Source organism: Homo sapiens, chromosome 20, assembly GCF_000001405.40.
Source record: "Homo sapiens chromosome 20, GRCh38.p14 Primary Assembly".
Taxonomy (NCBI): domain Eukaryota; kingdom Metazoa; phylum Chordata; class Mammalia; order Primates; family Hominidae; genus Homo; species Homo sapiens.
Window position 1 is genome coordinate 48,517,956 of NC_000020.11, and position 20,279 is coordinate 48,538,234.

The 20,279-nt window shown below is 46.7% G+C and overlaps 1 long non-coding RNA gene across 1 annotated transcript in view, besides 3 other annotated features; it reads right to left on the reverse strand.

Annotated features, from left to right (window-relative positions):
* Positions 5,114-5,615: an enhancer, noted in NCBI's record as "NANOG hESC enhancer chr20:47139607-47140108 (GRCh37/hg19 assembly coordinates)". NCBI's record gives its function as "activates a minimal SCP1, AML or CMV promoter by ChIP-STARR-seq in naive H9 embryonic stem cells {active_cell/tissue: H9 hESC(naive)}" and the evidence as "EXISTENCE:reporter gene assay evidence [ECO:0000049][PMID:30033119]".
* Positions 5,236-5,530: a silencer, noted in NCBI's record as "tiled region #11669; HepG2 Repressive DNase matched - State 19:H4K20, and K562 Repressive non-DNase unmatched - State 23:Low". NCBI's record gives its function as "represses a minimal TATA promoter and a strong SV40 promoter by Sharpr-MPRA in HepG2 and K562 cells {active_cell/tissue: HepG2 | K562}" and the evidence as "EXISTENCE:reporter gene assay evidence [ECO:0000049][PMID:27701403]".
* Positions 5,293-5,493: a silencer, noted in NCBI's record as "peak4240 fragment used in MPRA reporter construct". NCBI's record gives its function as "represses an SCP1 promoter by STARR-seq MPRAs in K562 erythroleukemia cells {active_cell/tissue: K562}" and the evidence as "EXISTENCE:reporter gene assay evidence [ECO:0000049][PMID:32103011]".
* LOC105372646 (uncharacterized) overlaps positions 8,399-20,279 on the reverse strand; it is a 37,271-nt gene continuing 25,390 nt past the window's right edge. Inside the window, exons 3-4 of the long non-coding RNA XR_936817.4 lie at positions 15,762-15,981; positions 8,399-10,482 (exon numbers count right to left, since the gene is read on the reverse strand). This is a non-coding gene — a long non-coding RNA (uncharacterized LOC105372646). The remainder of the gene's footprint in view (positions 10,483-15,761; positions 15,982-20,279) is intronic.

Genomic DNA, 20,279 nt, shown 5'->3' on the forward strand with positions numbered 1-20,279 from the left:
ATTTACCGACTGACTGATAGAGAAATATCTTCATTGTTGCTGGGATGAGCCACATAACATGACACGCCCCTTTGAAAGTCAATGTCATGGACAGTTAGCATTTGCTTTTCACTCCTGCACCTGTGGCTTGGCTGGGCTTAGGCTGATCTAGTCTGGGCTTGACTCCAGGCTGAGGGTTGGAACCCTGCGTGCTCCACACGCCTCTCATCCTGCAGCTGGAGTCAAAGTTCCCTGGGGCACGCTCGTCTCGTGGGAAAAATCAAGAGCATTAGAGGGCAGGCCTGGCAGTGCCAACACATTCCAGGCTTCTGCCTGTGCCGTGTCTATGAAAATCTTGTTGGCATAAGCAAGTTACCCAGCCACGAGCAATACCTATGGGATAGATAAGTCTGTCCACCCTCCCTCGGGCCCTGGTAAGGATGTGGATGTGTCATACTCTTACAGGGGTAGTGAAATATTGAGGCCCAACGTTAAATCACCTACAGCAAGATATGTCAGCCTCTGTGTCCCCACGCTGGAATCATGCTTCACCAGCGGGTTTACCTGAACCGACTCCCCTTTGCAATGGTGCCTGCAGGTTTAGGCCAATGCTGTTCCCTGTGAAGGACAGAGAAGCCTCAATTGGCCTCCGACTGTTGGCAAGAACAAGATATTAGGTTGGCATAAAACAACCACAAGCCCCAGGTGGCCCGTGCCCATTGAGACAGGAGAGGGGCAGGAAGAACTGTGGGAGCTCAGGGAGCTTCCCATCCCCAGTCCCCTCCCTCCCCCTCTTGTCCCATCTCCGCTTTCTTTTTTTTCCTTTTTTTTTTTTTCTTGAGACAGGGTCTGACTCTGTCACCCAGGCTGGAGTGCAATGTTGCGATCTTGGCTTACTCCAACCTCCGCCTCCCAGGCTCAAGCAATCCTCCCACCTCAGCCTCCCCAGTGGCTGAGACCACAGGTGCATGCCATCACACCCAGCTAATTTTTTTTTTTTTTTTTTTTTTTTTTTTTGTAGACACAGGATTTTGCCTTGCCCAGGCTGGTGTAGAACTCCTGAGCTCAAGCAATCTGTCCACCTCGACCTCCCAAAGGGCAGGGATTACAGACATGAATCACTGAGTCCAGCCTGCTTTATTTTTCTTTACAGTACCTGGAACGTTCTAATGTACTAAGTAGACGTGTATTTTCTTTCTTTTTTCTCTTCCCTAGAATAGGAGCTTAATATGGGCAGGTACTTTTGTTTGTCTCATTTATCACCCTATCCCCAGTGGCTGGAACAGTCTCCAGCACATGAATGGTGTGTTCTTAATAAATATTTTTAACAAATAAATAAATGAAATATCCTACAAGAGAAAGCTAGTATTTGGAACTCACCCATCAACAGAACCAAAAAGCCAAAGACCTTTAGCCTGTCCCTACTTCTGAATGCACCCAACCCCACAGGAGCCAGCAGAGAAAAAACAGGAACAAAGGTGGGGAAAAGAGCAGGTGGTTCCCCCCGCAACTAAGGACCCTCGAGGCTTAGGCTGAACTTGAGCTGGAGAAAGGACTAATGTAGGAACTGGGTGTGAGATAAAAGTTTAGATTTGTCTGGCCTGGATTTTGTAACACCTAAACACGAGTTATTCCATTCATTTTTGTTTTTGTTTTTTTGAGACAGAGTCTTGCTCTGTCTCCTAGACTGGAGTGCAGTGGTGTGATCTCAGCTCACTGCAACCTCCGCCTCCCAGGTTCAAGTGTTTCTCCTGCCTCAGCCTCCTGAGTAGCTGGGATTATAGGCACATGTTACCACGCCCAGGTAGTTTTTCTATTTTCAGTAGAGAAGGGGTTTCTCTATGTTGACCAGGCTGGTCTTGAACTCCTCACCTCAAGTAATCTGCCCACCTCAGCCTCCCAAAGTGCTGGGATTACAGGCATGAGCCACCAGGCCCTGACATATTCCATTCATTATTAAGAAGTCTGTTATGATAAATCAAAGTGACCAAAATCCTAGGGAAACTTCCCCAGATGTCATCAAGAAGCAGAGACCAGAGACCTATCAGCAGGATGGGGACTAGGGCGAGGCAGGGGAGGGAGGCGCTCATCTCTGGATTATCAGGGTCCAGCAAGGGAGGTATAAAGTTTAAGGGGGCACCAAAAAATTTACTGATCAGGCCGGGCGTGGTGGCTCACGCCTGTAATCCCAGCACTTTGGGAGGCTGAGGCAGGCGGATTATGAGGTCAGGAGATCGAGACCATCCTGGCTAACATGTTGAAACCCCGTCTCTACTAAAAATACAAAAAATTAGCCGGGCGCGGTGGTGTGCACCTGTAGTCCCAGCTACTCGGGAGGCTGAGGCAGGAGAATCGCTTGAACCTGGGAAGCAGAGGCTCCAGTGAGCCGAGATCGCGCCACTGCACTCCAGCCTGGATGACAGAGCAAGACTCCATCTCAAAAACAAACAAATAAACAAACAAAAAATTCACTGATAAATAAATAATAAATATTATTTAATATAAATAAAATAAGTATTTAATATAAATAAAATAATATTTTAATGCAGGTTTAAAAAAAATCAAATTTAATGCAAAAAAAAAAAAAAAACCCTAGTGGGAAAAGTTATCAACATTTCAACTAAGATACAATCCAACCCTGCATTTGCATGATTTGGCCTCACTTACTCACCCTAACCCAACCCTGCCTCACAGAAGCTGCTCGAAGGCAGCGGTTGGAGAAAAATGAATCCATTTCCTGCTCGTATCTAGTTCAGACCTTCCATAAACCAGCTACAGGTAAGACTGTGATGACCCACCTGTGCCAACCAGGACCACAATCTACCATCAGGGCCACAGTAACCGGGTCCATGTTGACTGTCCCCAGGTGCACCCAGATGTTTGACTTAGGGGCTCAGGCCAGGGTTGCTTCTCCCATTGATATTGTGCACTTGTTAAGAGAAAACAGACAAGACTGGGCACAGTGGCTCACTCCTGTAATCCCAGCACTTTGGGAGGCTGAAGTGGGCAGATCACCTGAGGTCAGGAGTTCAAGGCCAGCCTGGTCTACAAGGAGAAACCTTTGTCTCTTCTAAATATACACAAATCAGCTGGGTGTGAGGCACAAGAATCACTTGAACCCAGGAGGCAGAGGAACCCAGGCAGGCCGGGAACTCTGCCATGGGAAGCGGGTGTCTGAGAGCAAGGTCAGTGACACCATCTTGTTCTTGGGACTGAACTGGAGGCAGGGAAGCCAGGAGAAGCCCTGGGACCCGGCCTCTGGATGTTCACCATGGGTAGGCAGCTGTTTGCAGGGAGATGCCTGAGGGACCCCCAGGTTCCTCATGAAAACCTACAGCTCCGGTAAAATCTGCACTTTCCAGCCTGGGCTGCTTCCCACTGTATGCTCCTGAAGCCAGACGCCTTCATTCTGACCCCTGGCAATTCCCTGCATAGACCCGCATGTTTCAGGAGGATCCTGACCTGGATCTCAGACCACTGCTTCCCATGGCAGACTTCCCAGCCAAGCATTTCCTGAAAACGGTCTTCTCAGATTTTCTTCTGAGATGTGGCCAAGGCCCTGAAACAGAGTCTCCCTCCCACACAGGTTCTTACCTGTGAAACAGGACATGGTGGGAATGGGGAGGAAAGGTTCAGCCCCAGACAAGGAGGCCCTCCCATGGGGACGTCCAAAGAGAAAGATCGGACCCATCAAACCTCAGAGGCTGCCCTTGGACCTCAGGATGGCATCCAAACCCCCACAGGTCCCTGCCCCCGTCCAGTCCCACCTCCCACCACTCACTCCTGTGTCCACTTGGTCATGGCCACACTGGTCTCTCCGCTGGCCTTGGACAGACCAGGCTTCCAGGAACCTCAGGGCCTTGGCACGTGCTGGCCCTTCCTCCTGGTATGTTCCCCACCCCCACCCTGATCCTCACCCAGTTACCTCCAGGAACCTCGTCACCTGTTAGGTCTCAGATGAATGTCACCTCCTTGGGGGGATTCTCCTGTGTCCTCATCACCTCCTCGCCCAGGCCCAGGGCCCAGGTCAGGTCCCCCAAGGCCCCTCTTATCACACTGTAGTGTCTTTTCTTCCCAGCCAGGACCACGTGTAATGAAACAAGGCCATTGTTATCTGAGGACAACCCATACAACTAAAAAGCCCATTCAAGGTAAATTCAATTAAATTGAGTACCAAAGTTTCACAACAAATGCTTTGTGATTTAGTTAACAAACATTTACCTTGGATTCACTTTAGGCCAGGCGCTGTTCCCCATACTCCATGTGTATTAAATCATGTACTCTCCAAAACAGGCACTACTACATCACCGTCCCCATTTTGCAGATGAAAACACAGAGGCACAGAAAGGTGGTTGCTTGTGTAGAAATCGGCATCATCAGGACTGGATTAGGTCACCCTGCACCAGACCCCCTGCTCTCAGCCATGTACTTGCCACTTCTTCTAAAAAACAAAACAAACAATCAAAAAAGGTCTAATGAGGGTCTTCTCTAGAAAAGTAAAGCTAAATGTGATGAAAATAAGTTTTTATTTCCTGTCTAACATTTGGGTTATAGTGGCAGATGTACCCCCATTCTTAAGTAATCAAAGAATGAATCAAGTACTAATTTTTTTGCATATTTTTTTCTGATAAAACTGTAGCCACAGTCAACCTCTTTCCCCCAGGTTTGAGTTTTGCAGCCTGATCAAAAGAGTCATTTTCAAAAACCCCCAGGGGCTCCAGAGCCTCCACAGGGGCCCCTCTTCCTCCTGGCATTGTCTCTATTCCCTTTGGGATATTCTGCTGGATTTGAGGAGATCCTCATTCCTGCTGGTTCCACTTCTTTCAGTGTTCATCAGTCTACATGTTCCAGGTCCTCACTGTTGGACTCTGTGGGTGACGCAAGGAATACTTCCTATTGCATGGTGGGATATACAGGCTCACCCACAGCCCCATGGTGAACCCACCCCACATCCGCTGTGAAACCCCTAGTAAGGACCAGACCAATCATTCACACCCAGTGGAGTGCAGGCAGCCAGCTCTGAGAACCAACTGTGAAATGTTCAGAAATTTTGTTAATTGGTGTTAAACCTCTGGTAGTTTGAAATCAGCCATGTTGGGAGTATTTATACCAGGAAAACTGGGCTTTTCTTGACCCTAAAGTGCTGGTTTATCGGCCCAGCACTGAAGTTATACCTCACGCACAGCCCTGACTTTTGGATGGAAACTACCGTTATCCTATTTGGGGTCGCTTCCCAGTGGCTCCCATGTCCAAGACCCCAGCTTTCTCTTTCTCTCTTCACCCACTTTGGATTGGGAGCCTCAAAACCACTGTGCTGAAACCACTTCTAGGCATCAGCACCATTCACTAACAGCACACTGGCCTTTGTTCTAAGACAGGGATTCAGCAGTTACATAGATGTGCACTGAGCACTGAGCTGTCCTAGGTGCTGAAATGATTTCATCAGGAGCAATCAGAGGCTGCCTAGTCCAGGAATCTCAGACATTTGACCCTGGCTGAATGCCCTTATTGGAGCAGGAAAGAAGTGCAACAGTTTGCAATAAAATAGGCCCCTCATTTGCCATCCAGGGACACACACAAAGAAGCAACAGTGAACAGTCAGTACTTCACCCAGATTCAAGCAACACATCCCGACCTATGTGGTATCCTCCCTGTGACACAGGAACGGGGTGGGAGAGGAGTTCTCTAGCCACTTGCCTCCCAAGCTCATCCATGGGAAAGCATCTTGCTCCCAAGCTGTCAGGGAGAACCACAAAACCCCCCTCAGCCGGCAGGAAGCTTGCCCCACCCTCTTCCCCATTCACCCCCTCACTTTCTCCCCTCCTCCACTGACACTCCTCAACTCCCTGGACTGTCCACTCAGCCCCAGACCTTCTCTCTTCTGCCCCCACTGTGTCGTGACTGTCAGCCATTCCTCCCTAGTCCAGAAATGTCCATGAGGGTGAGAGAGCAGGGGGAGGACAGGACCCTCCAGGATGACCTGGCCTCAGAAAAAGAGCATCTAAAACACATCGGAGGCATCGCCTTGTGAAGCTTCAACTGCCAGCAAGTCCCATCCACAGATTCTGTCTTCTTTGCACAAACAGCATCTGCCTCCTTCCTGGCTTGTTGTTATCAGAATCTCAAGAGATGCCAGACCCCAGGAAATGTGGACAGAGGGGCTCTGATCTGTCTCATCTGTTTGACTATTTGATTAATATCCTCCCTTGCTCTGCCTTCCCCACCATTTCATCATCAGGCCCAGCCACAGGCTTGGCACGTTGCAGGCGCTAAACAAATACTTTCCTGAACAAATGATGAACACTTTGGTTTGGACGGGGGCTATTAACTTTTTGACCTTAGGGTGAGAACCATTTCACACACACTTTCAATAATCAAGAAATACTTAATTGTAATTTATTCAAGGGTATTTTTTCTTTCTGAGATGTTTAGTTCCTATTTTCGTTTCTTTGTCCATGTGGGAAGTAAACAGCAAATTGCCTGCATGTAGAATGTATTCAGTGGAGCTGCCTTAATTAGCTAATTTACTCATGTCTCACTGGAGAGCAATCAGAAAGAGTCCTTGTAGGTGCTGTTTAAGTTTGCAAAAGTGTCCTTCCCTTCCACAGCCACAGATGTCCTGGGCAGCTGGACCTGGGGAAGGGGCAATATATTCCCACCCACTCACCCTAATTTCCACACCCAGCCGCTGACTCCATTGTAACAGAGCACTGGGCAAAACATTCCTGTGCCTAACATTCTTCCTCAGGAGCGTCTTCAAATTGTGGCGGAAGCCCCTGAGTTTATGCCCGTGGAGCTCTGAACCCTGCAAAGGGCTGGCCAGGGGTGGGGAGGCTGTGCCCCACCCTCCACTCAGGGCTCACCCCAAGTCCCCCAGGGGTCCCCAGTACTCACTGTGAAGCAAGAAGTGGAGCACCCTGATGGGGAATGGCCCTGCCAGGGTCATGTCCCACAAACTGTGTAAGCAAAGGAGACAGCACCTGCTTTCCAAGGCCTGCCCAATGGGCCAAGGTTCAGCTTAGGTGAGAGGGCCCGGCTATCCCTACCCATGTTTCAGCTCAGGGGATAAAACCCTTCCTGCTACAAAGCTTCCTTTTACAAGCAGATAAACCCTGGCCAGGACTTCTAAAATCTTTACATTCAGGTAGCTTTTGGCCAATCTTTGGTGAATTTGTTTAATCATATTTCTTTACTGGAAGTCATTATCTGAGATGAGCAATTTTTTACTGGGGCAGGTTTGTGACTTCAATGAGCCTTGCCTTCCTTGTCTCTTAAAGGTCACCATTGGAAATAGATCGACAATGTAGCACGAAAGTACCTAGCACAGTGCCTGGCTCAGACATTCTATCAGCAGCTACCTGCCTCCAGTCTGTCCTCCTCTCTGTTTTCTGCATTATCTCTTTCTGTAGTATAAAAGAGACAACTTTTCTTCAAAGCTGTCTAGATTTTAGCCTTTGGAAGTTCAAAAACATTGGCCAGTTACCCATGTCATAGTGAGGCAGGAGAATAGGGAATTGGGGTAACCAAAGGTTAAGACATAAAGAACAGCAGGTGCAGCCAATTTTAGGCAAGATTAGGCAGCACACAGTCCACACCCTCACTTCTGCAATAATGAGACACAAGGTTCCACTTCAGCCTCTGATTGGTCATGGACCAATCCTTCATAGGGCGTATCCAATCAGATGCCTCTAAAAGAGCACCTAGAGGTGTTACCAAATTCTTTTAGCTTAATAAAAATCCCTAAAGAACATTGTAATTGGGGCTCTTGAGCAACTTGCTTGAGCCCACTCCCACTCTGTGAAGTGTACTTTCACATCAGTAAATCTGCACTTTCTTTCGTTGCTTTGTTTTTCTGTTGCTTTGTCTGTGCATTTTGTTCAAGTCTTTGCCAAGAACCTGGACAACTCACAGTCAGGACTTTCCATCTGGTAACAATAGCATTAATTGCAGTAAAAGGATGAGCTTTCTCAGGGCAGGCTAAGCCCAGCTGCCCACAGTCCTGACCACAATACCTGTCCCTTCTGATTTTTTTTTTTTCATTTTTTCCCCAATTTCTTAGCTTTAAAAAATGTCAACTATTCAGAAACATACAGAGTAGTACAGTGATCACATACCCTTCAAATAGCTTCATCAACTGATAACACCATGTGTGTGGGTCACCTATCTCCACGAGCATTATTTAAAGAAAATTGTGTGTGCGCATGTGACTGTGTGTGTGTGCATGCATGTGTGCACACAATTGTGCGTGTGTGTTTCCTTTTCTGGCAAAACTATTTGAAAGTATGGTGCAGGGGTCATGATAGTTCACCCCTAAACACTTCAGTGTATATCTCCTAAAGAAAAAAATAATTTCTTACATAATCTCAATGCCATTTTCACACCCAAACATTTCATGTTGATGCAGTGATATAATCTAAAATACAGTCCAAAGTGAGAGCTTTTATTTTCAATTTAGCATCCAATCTAGGACCACACTGCATGGCTTGACATGATTCTTTCATTCCCTGCAATGTCAAGCAGCGAGTCCATCATTTCATCTCTTGGGATGTTGACTTCTTTGAAGATTCCAGCCAGTCGTATTGTACCAGAAAGCCAAGAAGTGCTCAAAAGATGATGGAAATTGGTCAAAAGGAAACAGAAGCTATAGTCAGAGGACTTTCAATGGACAAATGTAGAAGTATTTGAGCATCAAAAATATATGGGAGCAAGAATGAACACACTGAATTTTTTAAAAAAGGATCTATGAGTTCATAGTGATACTAAAAAAAGCTGATTGGAGCCAGGAAGAATTCTTTACAGAATAACAGCAGCTGATATATATGAAGAATGACGGAATTTGAAAATGTTACAATTGACTCATTTGAGGACCATCTGTGGATGCCAAAACCATTGGGGGACAGATTTTGAAGAACAGGATATCCATAAGGTCCCAAAGCATCACCGCATATGTTGCTTGGCAATTACACAAGGGAAAAATGATCCTTTGCAATAGAGAAATCTGATGGCCAGCACTTTAACCAAGTGCTCAAGCTCAACACGAGCAGTGAACAGACATCTCAAGCCTCACTCCGGCTGTAATGAGCTGGGCAGAGCCTCCCTCTGTAGCAATCCTGGCCACGGCATTCGGCCTGCACCTCCCCAGGGAAGAAGCAGACTCGGGCAGACTGTGGCCCTTCTGCAGGCCAGCGACACAGGCTCGTCTCACTTCACCTGGGTGGTACAGACACTGGTCCACAGACACTCCTTGCTTTGAGCTCTGCCCCGTCCAGACCTGTGCTGGAGTTACAGATACAGAGATGGATGATTTGCCTTCAAGGATGGGAAGGATGGGAAGGATGCTCAGGAATCTGTGTCCGGGGTCTCTGGCACTTGGACAGCTTCCAAAACAACTGTGACTCCTCCACTGAAGGAAGAAATGAAAATACACGTATCTGTTGTTTCTTCTTCCTGATCAAACCAGGTGGAACCGTTTAGGAAAAAATCTGTTGTTAGAGGTATACTCAGGAACGATTTGTGGACTCTTGGTCGTCCTATCAAGTGAGACATCGGACGAAATAGGGACCACTATCGTCACTCTGCCATCAGGATTCGTGACTGCAACATCAAAAGGCGCTGTAGAAGCATTGGAAAAGCACCTGGTGTAAAGGGAGCTTTTATCAGTAGTCTGAGCCCCTCTCCATTGCTGCTGCTGTTGGAAAAGCCAACTTGGCTGCAGACAGTAGCAACAGGCTTCAGAGTCAGCCCAGAAGCAGCAGGAGGTGGAGTCTGCAACAGCCAAATTAGGGGTGACTTTGCCTGGGATCTGGGTTCTTTAGAGATGCCAAATATTCACTTCAGAAGGCTGCAGAGGTGGACCCAGGAGGCGTCACTCACTCAGTGCATATTTAAGCAGGGCCGACTGTGCACCAGGAACGATTGTAGTCTCTGGCCACAGCAAAGAACAAAACAAAGACCCCTGGCTTCAGGGAGCTCACGACCCACAGAGGGACAGAGGACAAGCAGGTGACAGCCCAAGACAGTGCACAAAGCAGAAGCTGGTGGTGCCGCCTGGGTCCCGCAGGCCTCAGAGTCTTTGCCCTGCGATGGCTTCTTGCTGCCCCTGCTCTCCTGCGGCTCCTCCTCAGGCTGCAGGAGCCTGTGTGGCCTGGGAGTGGAGTCCTGGGAAGCTGCCCTGGGTGAACGGAAGCTGGCGGGGAGCAGACCTGGCTTCCCCGCCTCTCCAGTGCAGTCCTCTGATGCTGCTCCTAAGCGTCTCCATGAGGTCTCCAGTGCAGCTGAGCACCAGCAGCCCACCGTGGGCACCTCCTACTTATCCCACCAGAAAGGGCATTTTTTCCTTCCCATTTCCCTCCCCACCGTCTTGCCCGAGCTTCCTGGGGACTTCTCCAGGTGAACTGAGTCATGCCCACTCTCAGAGTCAGCTTCCAGAAGAATCCAACCGAAGGCCATGTGTGACACGCAAACTATGTCAGATGGTGGGAAGTGCACTGGAAAAAGACAAAGCTGGGAAGGGAGGGGGTGGTGGTTGGGGGGCTGTGATTGCTCATGGACATCTGAGGAGCCCCCCAAGAAGGGGGCCTTGCAGCAGCTGCCCAGGCGGTGAGGGCTCAGCGGGTGGATGTCCCGGAGAGGAGCATCCCAGGGCGGCCAGGACTAAGGGTAAGATCCCGAGGTGGGGAGCTCCTGGCCTGTCCTAGGAAGACCAAGAGGCCATGTGACCAGAGCAAGGGGACACAGGAGAGAAGCAGGAAAGAGACCAGCAGGTGGAAGGCACCAGAGGCTCAGGGCCCTGTTGACCAGGGAAAGGCTGTGGCTGACAGAGTGAGGCTGCAGACCTGGGCTCGGTGCAGGGCATGGCTAATCTGAATCATTGAATAGAATAGACTGTGGTGGAGGCTAGGCAGGGAGACCAGGGAGGCCCATGGTGTGATCATCCTTCGAGAGCAGCCAGGCAGGAGCAGGCAGGTGGGCGGAGTGCAGGAATCAGTCCATGTGGACAGCAGAGGGATGGAGGTGCTGAGCGGTCAGAGGGTGGGTGCCAGGAGGGGAGAGGAGCTGGCCATGTCGGCCTGAGCACCTGGGCAGGAATAGCCACCATCACGGAGGTGGTGGGGGTGAATTGAGGAGGTGGAGAGGAAAACCCATGACTATTTGAGTTGGAGAGAGCCCAACCACAGCTGAATGCATGAACCTGGACATCAGCTAAAGGTCTGGGCTGGACAGAGAAGTAAACATTTAAAAATAAAAATCAAATCAGGTCAAAATCCCCAAAATATGTCACATGATCCTTTTCAATCTTGGACCCCCCATCTGTGGAATACATAGACTTGTGATGCAAACTAGGAGCCAGATGAGGACCTATGCTGTTGGAGCTGGACTACATGGATCCCCCACCATAGCCCCACACCAACCCATTGCTCTTGCCCCGGGCTGGGGTCTCCAGAAGCAGAAACTGAGATGGAGTTTTCAGTTCAAAATACTTCTAAGGACCAACACTTGTGAAAGGTACTTGGTGGGGAAAGGCACGCTGGGCAGGGGAGAAGTTGATCTTCAAGGCAGGCCTGACGTGGCCTCCACAAATTTGCAGAGGTTCTGAAACAAATATTGCTTGTAGGAGTCAACCCATGTTGGGCCCAAATTACCAGGCTTTTATTCCCTGACTTCCCCAGCCACCAGGAGTGAGCTGTCCTGGAAAGGTCATGACCATGGACAGGAGGGCTCTCTATAGCTTTATCCCTTATATATATAAAAAAAAATTGCAAGAAAATCTAAGATATTACAATTATAATCTAGGGAGGTTGATAAGACTTTACAAACCAAGATGGATAATCTTGATATTTAAAAAACCGAAAATAAAAAAATTTGAAAATTTTGTACATAAAATGATTAAACAAGCTATATAAACCTGTATTTGTAAGTGAATACTAGACAAGGAGCTAATTTCTGTAATATACAAATTCTTACAAATTGACAAGAAAAGGAGGTGATAGCTATAAAGAGGTAATTCACAGAAAAGCATCTCTCTGCTCTTGAACTGCTAGAAATGCAAACTGTAAAAATAAAAGTACCCAAACCTTATCCTAAAATGCACAGATGTTTACTGCAAGTGTTGTTTATAGCTTCCCAGAACTGGAAACAAAACACATTCCCATTATGAGAAAAATGGCTGAGCATTTTGCATGTATAGCCACCCAATGGAATTTCCACAGCTATTGTAAAGAACAACTTTAATTTAGAGCCATATAAGATGTCTTGAAGGTATATCAACAAGGAGTTAAGTGATAAAATCAAGATGTAGAAAAATGTTAGTTATGGGTCTGTCAATCCTGGTGATCTCTTTAAGGAGCTAACTTTTATCTTTGTTAATCTTATCTATTGCCTTTCATGTACTATTTCGTTTACTTCTGCTCTTCCCTTTACCTACATATTTCATAGATACGTATCGACGTATTCATTGTACATATCTACGTATTAATTCTACATACTTCTGGTTTACTTTTTTTTCTAGTGTCTTGAGGTAGAATCTTAGGTCACTGATTTTTTACCTTTCTTTTTTGTTATATTACATTACATTACCTTTAAAGATATAATTCTTTCCCTCTGCACCGCTTTAGCTGTGGCCCCCAAATTTTGATGTTGTATCTTATCATTTGGCAAAATTCCCTCTTAAGTTCATTTGGACTAAACACTGGAATGATTTAGAACAAAATATGAAGCAAACCATAGTTCAACTGGTGCACAAATTTAGCCAAAAGATCCTCCCTCCATAGCGAAGGTGAGAGGATCGCTTGAGCCCGGGAGTTCGAAACCAGCCTGGGCAACATGGTGAGACCCTGTCTTTACAAAAGAAAAACAGAAGTTATTGAGGTTTGTAACTTGATATTGTGGCATTAGTTGGAAAAGCCATTTTACTTCAAAACTGGTTAAAGAGGTTAAAAAAATATTCTATCTGTCAGGAGTGAAACTGAAAGCTAATTGAGAATCCCAGTTGAGATCTTGGAATTTTGTTTGTGTGCTTTACTTGGAATTGTCCACCTTATGTGCTTACAATGACTGGGTGTCTCCCATTATCTGTACAGCTTTCCCTTAGTAATAGAACCCCTGTTAATTAGCAGTTTAGCTGGTGCATGGCAGCCCAGAAGAAGGACGGCCGTTTCCAGCCTTTCTTGCAGCGATGTGTGGTCAGGTGAGTAAGTGCTGCCCAGTGGAATGTGAGTGCAAGAGTGGCGCCCCTGCCAAGTTGTGCCCAAGGAGGAAAGGGTGTGCCCAGCTCTTTTCTCACTTCTCACTGGCTGAAATGCAGACAGGGGTGGGGCATCTGGACCAAGTGAAGGAAGCCAATGGCCTAGGGATAGCAGAGCAAAAAGACAGAGGGAAACGGGGTCCCTCAAAACTTCACAAACTGGAACTGGCACACCAGCTCAGCTGTTGACATGAGTGAGAAATGCACTTCCAGCTTGTATAAGCCACTGTCTCTACCACAGTAGCCAAAGCTAAATCCCAATGGATCCAGAGCCCAGAGACACCAAGTGATGACCTATGGATATTCTGATCTGGTCTGTGGAGACTGGGTTTCTCTGGGTATTTTCTACACAATCAAACTCAATTGAGGATAAATATGCAGGTTTTAGAGCCGTTAAACATAAACTGGGCCAGAAATAGAAGGAGCTGATTTTGTGGGTGGAAAAAATGAGTCCTAAACAGATGGAATGAATTACTCACCAAAATTAGAAGCATGTTTCCTACAATTTGCATATTAATGGTCTATCCCAAACACAAAGTGAAGGACCACAGGCCACATCTGGCTAGAGGATGTGATCAGCCCACAGCACTCGGGTCTGTACAGTTTGTTTTCAACATTTAAAAATGAGGCCAGGTGCAGTGGCTCATGCCATAATCTCAATACTTTGGGAGGCCAAGGCAGGAGGAACACTTGAGCCCAGGAGTTTGAGACCAGCCTGGGCAACATGGTGAGATCCTGTCTCTACAAAAAAAAAAAAATTAAAAATGATCTGGGAATCGTGGCGTGTTTCTGTAGTCCCAGCTGCTACTCAGGATGCTGAGGTGGGAGGATCGCTTGAGCCTGGAAGGTCAAGGCTGCAGTGAGTGGTGATCACATCACTGTACTCCAGCCTGGGTGAGAGTGAGACCTTGTCTCAAAAAAAAATTTTATATTAAAATATAGATTTCCATCTTCCTCTGAAAAATCAAAGACACAGCAAACTTGTGCCCTTTTTACTGGGTGACTCATGGCCTGAGGATGTCACAGCCACCTCATTGCACCGGCCAGTGAGCCTAGACTTGCCACAGTGCTCACCACCTGCTGTCCCTCAACAGAGAAGGCGAGAGTCATCACTACTTATTACCTCTCATGCTGCTGGCCTTTATTTCCATTCATGAAAACAAATCTTTCTACCCACCTCTCTATTATAAAAATAAATAGATGGAGAGCATCCATCAACAGATGATTGGATAAAGAAAATGTGGCATATATACTTTCTGCCATAGTATTCCTAAATGTGAAAAATATACACATATATATATTCACAGAATAGAACATAGGGTAGGAATACTACATTCTATGAATAGGAATAGCATTCAATAGAATAGGAATACTATTCTGACATAAAAAAGAATGAAATTGGCCAGGCGCGGTGGCTGACACCTGTAATCCCAGCACTTTGGGAGGCCGAGGTGGGCAGATCACAAGGTCAGGAGTTTGAGACCAGCCTGACCAACATGGTGAAACCCCGTCTCTACTAAAGATACAAAAAATAAGCCAGGCATGGTGGCACACACCTGTAATCCCAGTTACTCAGGAGGCTGAGGCAGAAGAATCGCTTGAACCTGGGAGGCAGAGGTTGCAGTGAGCTGAGATAGCACCATTGCACTCCAGCTTGGGTGAAAGGGCGAGACTCCATCTCAAAAAAAAAAAAAAAAAGAATGAAATTATGTCTTTTGCAGCAACATGGATGGAACCAGAGGCCATTTACCTTAAGTTAAATAACTCAGAAAGTCAAAACTGCATGTTCTCACTTATAAGTGGGACCTAAATTATGTGTGCATGTGGATATAGAGTGTGGAATAATAGACATTGGAGACTCCAAAGGGTGGGAGGGCTACAGCAGGGTTACGGATGAGAAATTCCTTAATGGGTACAATGTACATTAGTGGAGCGATGATGACACTAAAAGCCCAAGCTTCAGCACTATGTGGCATATCCACATTAACAAAACCGTACTCCTGCCCCTTTGATTTATACAAATAAACTCTTCAACCACACCTTGGTGATTGAGCCATTTGTGTCCTGCCATTTGTTCTCTGACAGGTACACCTGGCTATTTGTTTCCTTTCATAGTCATTATTATGACCTGAAGTACTGGAGAATGTCATCAAATCTAAGATGCCAGCAACTATAAGATGCACCATTATTTTACACACTGCTGAGAAGGGAAAAACACTGACAAACTGCAACACAATGACACTATTAAGATGCACTCCAATTTTAAATATTAAAATGTGCAACAAATGGTGTATTTCCAAATCAACAAAATATATTATGAATTGTGTTTTTTGTCTACCTCCTCCCCAGGAGTGTAAGCTCCCTGAGGGCAGGGAGGTTGTCTGATTTCTTCCCTGTTGCATCCCAATGTTTGGCTCATGGTAGGGGCTCAAGAGATACTTTTTGGATGAAAGAATAACATCCAGCCCTCCATGAGCACTCCTGCTCCTCAGGGTGTAACCCTGGCACACAGCATGCTGAGCCATGGTAGAGCACTTACCACTTTCCTATGATGATTTGGAAATGTCCTGTCATCCTCTTTCACCACCGAACCTTCCAGGACCGACTCCATCTTCTCTCCCAGCCTGAGCCAGAGGCTCGAATGAAGGTGGGGACTTCCAAGCTTCACTCTCAAGGTCTCCGAGAGCTTTGCCCTTCCCTAGCCCCAACGCTATTGCTGGTTAACTTTCCTGCAGTCTCAGACACCTGGGAGCCAAAGTCTTATGGAAACAAAATGGAAATGTACATAAGAGCCCTTGGGGATTTGCAGAGGCAACATTCCCAAGGCTTAATCACATGGAATTGTTCATATAGAGCTTCTTCCAGCTTGATGTGAAGGGATTTAAACCCCTTCCTTCAATTTTATTTCCCAGCCTGCTGTGGGGATGTGTGTAATTCTTATCTCCGTCACAGTTAATCAAGCGCCCATACTAAGGAGATAACGTCCCTTCCCTCCGCACCTGACTTAGGGAATTAAACGGCTGCATATCTGTTGCTCCAACTGCATGGAAGTCCACAGTCCTCCCCAAACCTCACCTCGAGCTTTTCAAGTAATGGATTTCGATAAGGGCATAATAATCACCATCTTCTTTCAGTTTAAAAATGCAGTGCTGGGTAAAATAATGTTTCTAGTAAGAGCAGAAAACATGGGAATATCGTGGATAAAGTGCAGACAGAAATTGGCGATAAGGGAGGTGGGGAGATGGGAAGCTCTGGGTGAAGATGAAGATGGGGACAGGGTGGGGATGAGGTCCTGGAGTGCGGGTAATAAGGAAACCTAAAGCTGCCAACATAATTAAGACTGCCCGAGCCAGGAGACACACGGGGCATTTTTTAAGGATGTAAGGTGTGAGAGGTCATTAAACTAAGTTACCAGAGCTTCCAAGAGACAAGGAGAGTAATTGAATGAGAGGCCCTGACATTGCAGAAAGTCTAAATTAATTCTTTTCTTGGCTGCTCATGCAGGATGAAAAAGCAGTTACCAGAAATAAAAGATAACCAAAATATTTTTGAACATACACAAAATGAGTGTGTGAGGGGGGAGTATAACTATATACCTACGGAGAGAAGAGAAAGAAGTGGAGAAATGAGGGGGGCAGGGAAAGAAACCCTAATAAAGGGAATTGAAAAAATCATTCATTTTTTGATGTTACAGTGGGAGTTTCTGTGACACAAATATACTTGAAAAGCTGCCTTTGACCTGCCTTTTGAGCCATAGTTGATACTTACCTCATGCAGGGCAGGTAAGCCCCACAGTGGGGCTTAGTTCAGGAGGGTTCTTGGCTTTGTGCAAGAAAGAATTCAAGGGCAAACCGGAGGCAGAAGAAAACAGCTTTATTAGAGAGCCAGTATTACTGCTCTGTGACCGCTCCTGCAGAGCAGGGCTACCGCATAGGCAGAGAGGAGCAGCTCAGAGCAGTTTTGCAGTCATATTTATACCCACTTTTGTTTTTGTTTTTGTTTTTGTTTGAGACAGAGTCTCGCTCTGTTGCCCAGGCTGCAGTTCAGTAGGCCATCTCAGCTCACTGCAACCTCTGCCTCCTGGGTTCAAGTGATTCTCCTGCCTCAGCCACCTGAGTAGCTGGGATTACAGGTGTGCACCACCACACTCAGCTAATTTTTATATTTTTAGTAGAGATGGGGTTTTGCCACGTTGGCCAGGCTAGTCTTGGAGTCCTGGCCTCAAGTGATCCACCTCCCTCGGCCTCCCAAAGGGCTGTGATTACAGGTGTGAGCCACCATGCCCGGCCTTATACCTACTTTTAAAAACATTCTTCTAGGGAAAGGAGAGTAACTTTTGGGTATTCACGTCATTGCCATGGAAAGGGGTATTAACTCCCGGGTGTTGCCATGGCAATGGTAAACTGACATGGCACACTGGTGGGCATGTCTGATGAAAAGCTGCTTCCACCCAAGCTCTGTTTTAGCAAGCACAGATTTTGGTCCAGTGTCTGAGCCCCACCTCTGGAGTTGAGTCCCGCCTCCTACCTCACACTTCCAGGTCCCAGGCTTTGCAGGAACCACAGCAGCCCCTTAGAGCTGTCAGGGAGCCAGGGCCAAGGCCGCATTGCCCATTCTTTGTCCTGTGAATCCTACATCCTCACTGCCTGCACAGATGTCCCCAAATCCCCACTCCAGGGTGAGCGCAATACATTCCAACACCACTGCCTGCTCTCTTCTACTCAGAGCTTCACGAATCCCAGAGTGTGAAATCTTTGCACAAACCAAACATGGCACTCGGTAACATTACATCCTATACAGTCTCTCTTGGTTCTTCCAATTACCTCAAAGAAAACATCTTGATTTGGTGCTGATGTGCCTCTCCCACCTCTCCAAGCCCAGCTTTTCATCCTTTCCAACAAAGAAAGAGAAGCCCCCAGGCTTACTGCAGAATATGGCACCTCTGCTTAAGTTTACTGTTTTTATTTTTACAGTTACCTTCCTTCCCAGCAAGAGATGCTGGTTTCACATTTACTCTGGATGATTTAAGTGTTTCTTTCAAATAAAAGTTTTTTAGTGAAAAAAAAATGGGTTTATTTAAAGAAAGCTATCAGAGATCAGCAAACTACAGCCCTGAGGCCAACTGCCTATTTTTGTAAATCAAGTTTTCCTGGGACACCGCAGTGCTGATCTGTGTATAAATCGTCTCTGGCTATGGCTGCCTGGCATTATGACAGCAAAGCAGGGCACTTGCAACAGAGGCCATGTGTCCCACAAAGCCCAAAATATTCACTCTCTGGCACTTGCCAGAAAATGTTTGGCCACCCCAGGAGCAAAGGATCATCCTGGGGAAAGTGGAGACAGTGGCAGGTGAATGATTTAAATTGAGTAAATAGGGAACCCTGGTTAGGAGCTTGGACCCCAGGGTGAGACAGCACAAGGTGAACCCCAACTCCCCTATAGACCATTGAGTCCCTTCTCGTGGAGGATCCTAGGCTCCCTCATCTGTAAAGTGGGAGAACAGGCCCCACATGAGGCTCTTGTGCAGACTGGTGAGATACTGCGTGCAAGGCATAGGTCTGTGCCTGCCGCAAGGTAGACAGCCAGTAAGTGGCCACCTTGAGTATTACCAGGGCAGGAGGTGAGAAAATCCATTTATCACCAGCTGAGATAAGAGTTGCCCAGAGAAGAACTATTCAGACTTGAGTAGGGATGTGAAGTTGAGGTCAAAGGCAGGAGGTAGAAAGGGATGGGGTTGCTAAGCAACACATCCAGATGCTGGAGGTGGCAGAAGTGGCCAAGGGACCAGGGCACAGATAAAATTACCCACCTGTGTTGCTCCAACGTCACCAGTAAAATCTGTCCGTCACAGCTGCCAGGAACATGGAATTTGAGAAGACTAATAACAAGGAAAGGCCAGGACTGGTGGCTCATGCCTATAGAGCTTCAAGAGGCCAAGGTGGGATGATTGCTTGAGGCCAGGAGTTCAAGACCAGTGCCAACAAAAAGATTGAAACTCTGTAAAATATTTGAAGAGATTTATTCTGAGCCAAATATGAGTGACCATATTAGGGGCTCATGACACAGCCCCAGGAGATCCTAGAACATGTGCCCAAGGTGTTGGGCTATGGCTTGGTTTTATATGTTTAAGGGAGACATAAGACATCAATCAATACAGGTAAGATATATATTGGTTTGGTCAGGAAAGGTGGGACAACTCGAAGGGTGCGAGGGGTGGGGCTTCCAGGTCATAGGTGGATTCAAAGATTTTCTGATTGGCAATTGGTTGAAAGTGCTAACTTATTACCTAAAGTCCTGGAATCAATAGAAGGGAGTGTCTGGGTTAAGATAAGGGGTTATGGAGACCAAGGTTTTATCATACAGATGAAGCCTCCAGGAGCAGCCTTCAGAGCTCTAATCAGGCCTAAAAAGGTCTCTTTTTTAGACTCTTAGTTAATTCTCTCCCAGGTCAGGAATTAGGCCTGGAAAGGGAAAGAGATTCTCTACAGAATGTAGATTTTTCCCACCAGAGACAGCTTTGCAGGGCCATTTCAAAATAGGTCCAATTAATATATTTTAGGGTAAAATACTTGGATTTCTTTCAGAACCTGCTGTCATTTTGTGATGTGTCACAATGCTACAAAGAGTCATTTGTCAGCCTTTAGGTCTCTGCCTTAATGTTAATGCTGGTCAGCTGTGCCTCAATTCCAACAAGAGGAAGGCATAAGCCATTCCCATCGTGCCCTGCACTCTCGTTCCAGGTTTACTTTGGAATGCCCTTTGCTGAGAGGAGGGATCCATTCACTTGGTTGAGGGCCTCAGAATTTTATTTTTTGGTTTACACCAGTCTGGGCAACACAGTGAGAATCTGTCTCTACAAAAAAAATTTTTTAAAAATTAGCAGGGCATGGTGGCACACACCTGTAGTCTCAGCTACTCAGGAGGCTGAAGCGAGAGGATCGCTTGAGCCCAGGAGTTCAAGGCTGCAGCAAGCTATGATTGCACCACTGCACTCCAGCCTGGGTGACGGCAAGACCCTGACTCTAAGGAAACAAAAACAAAAAAAAAAAATACAAGG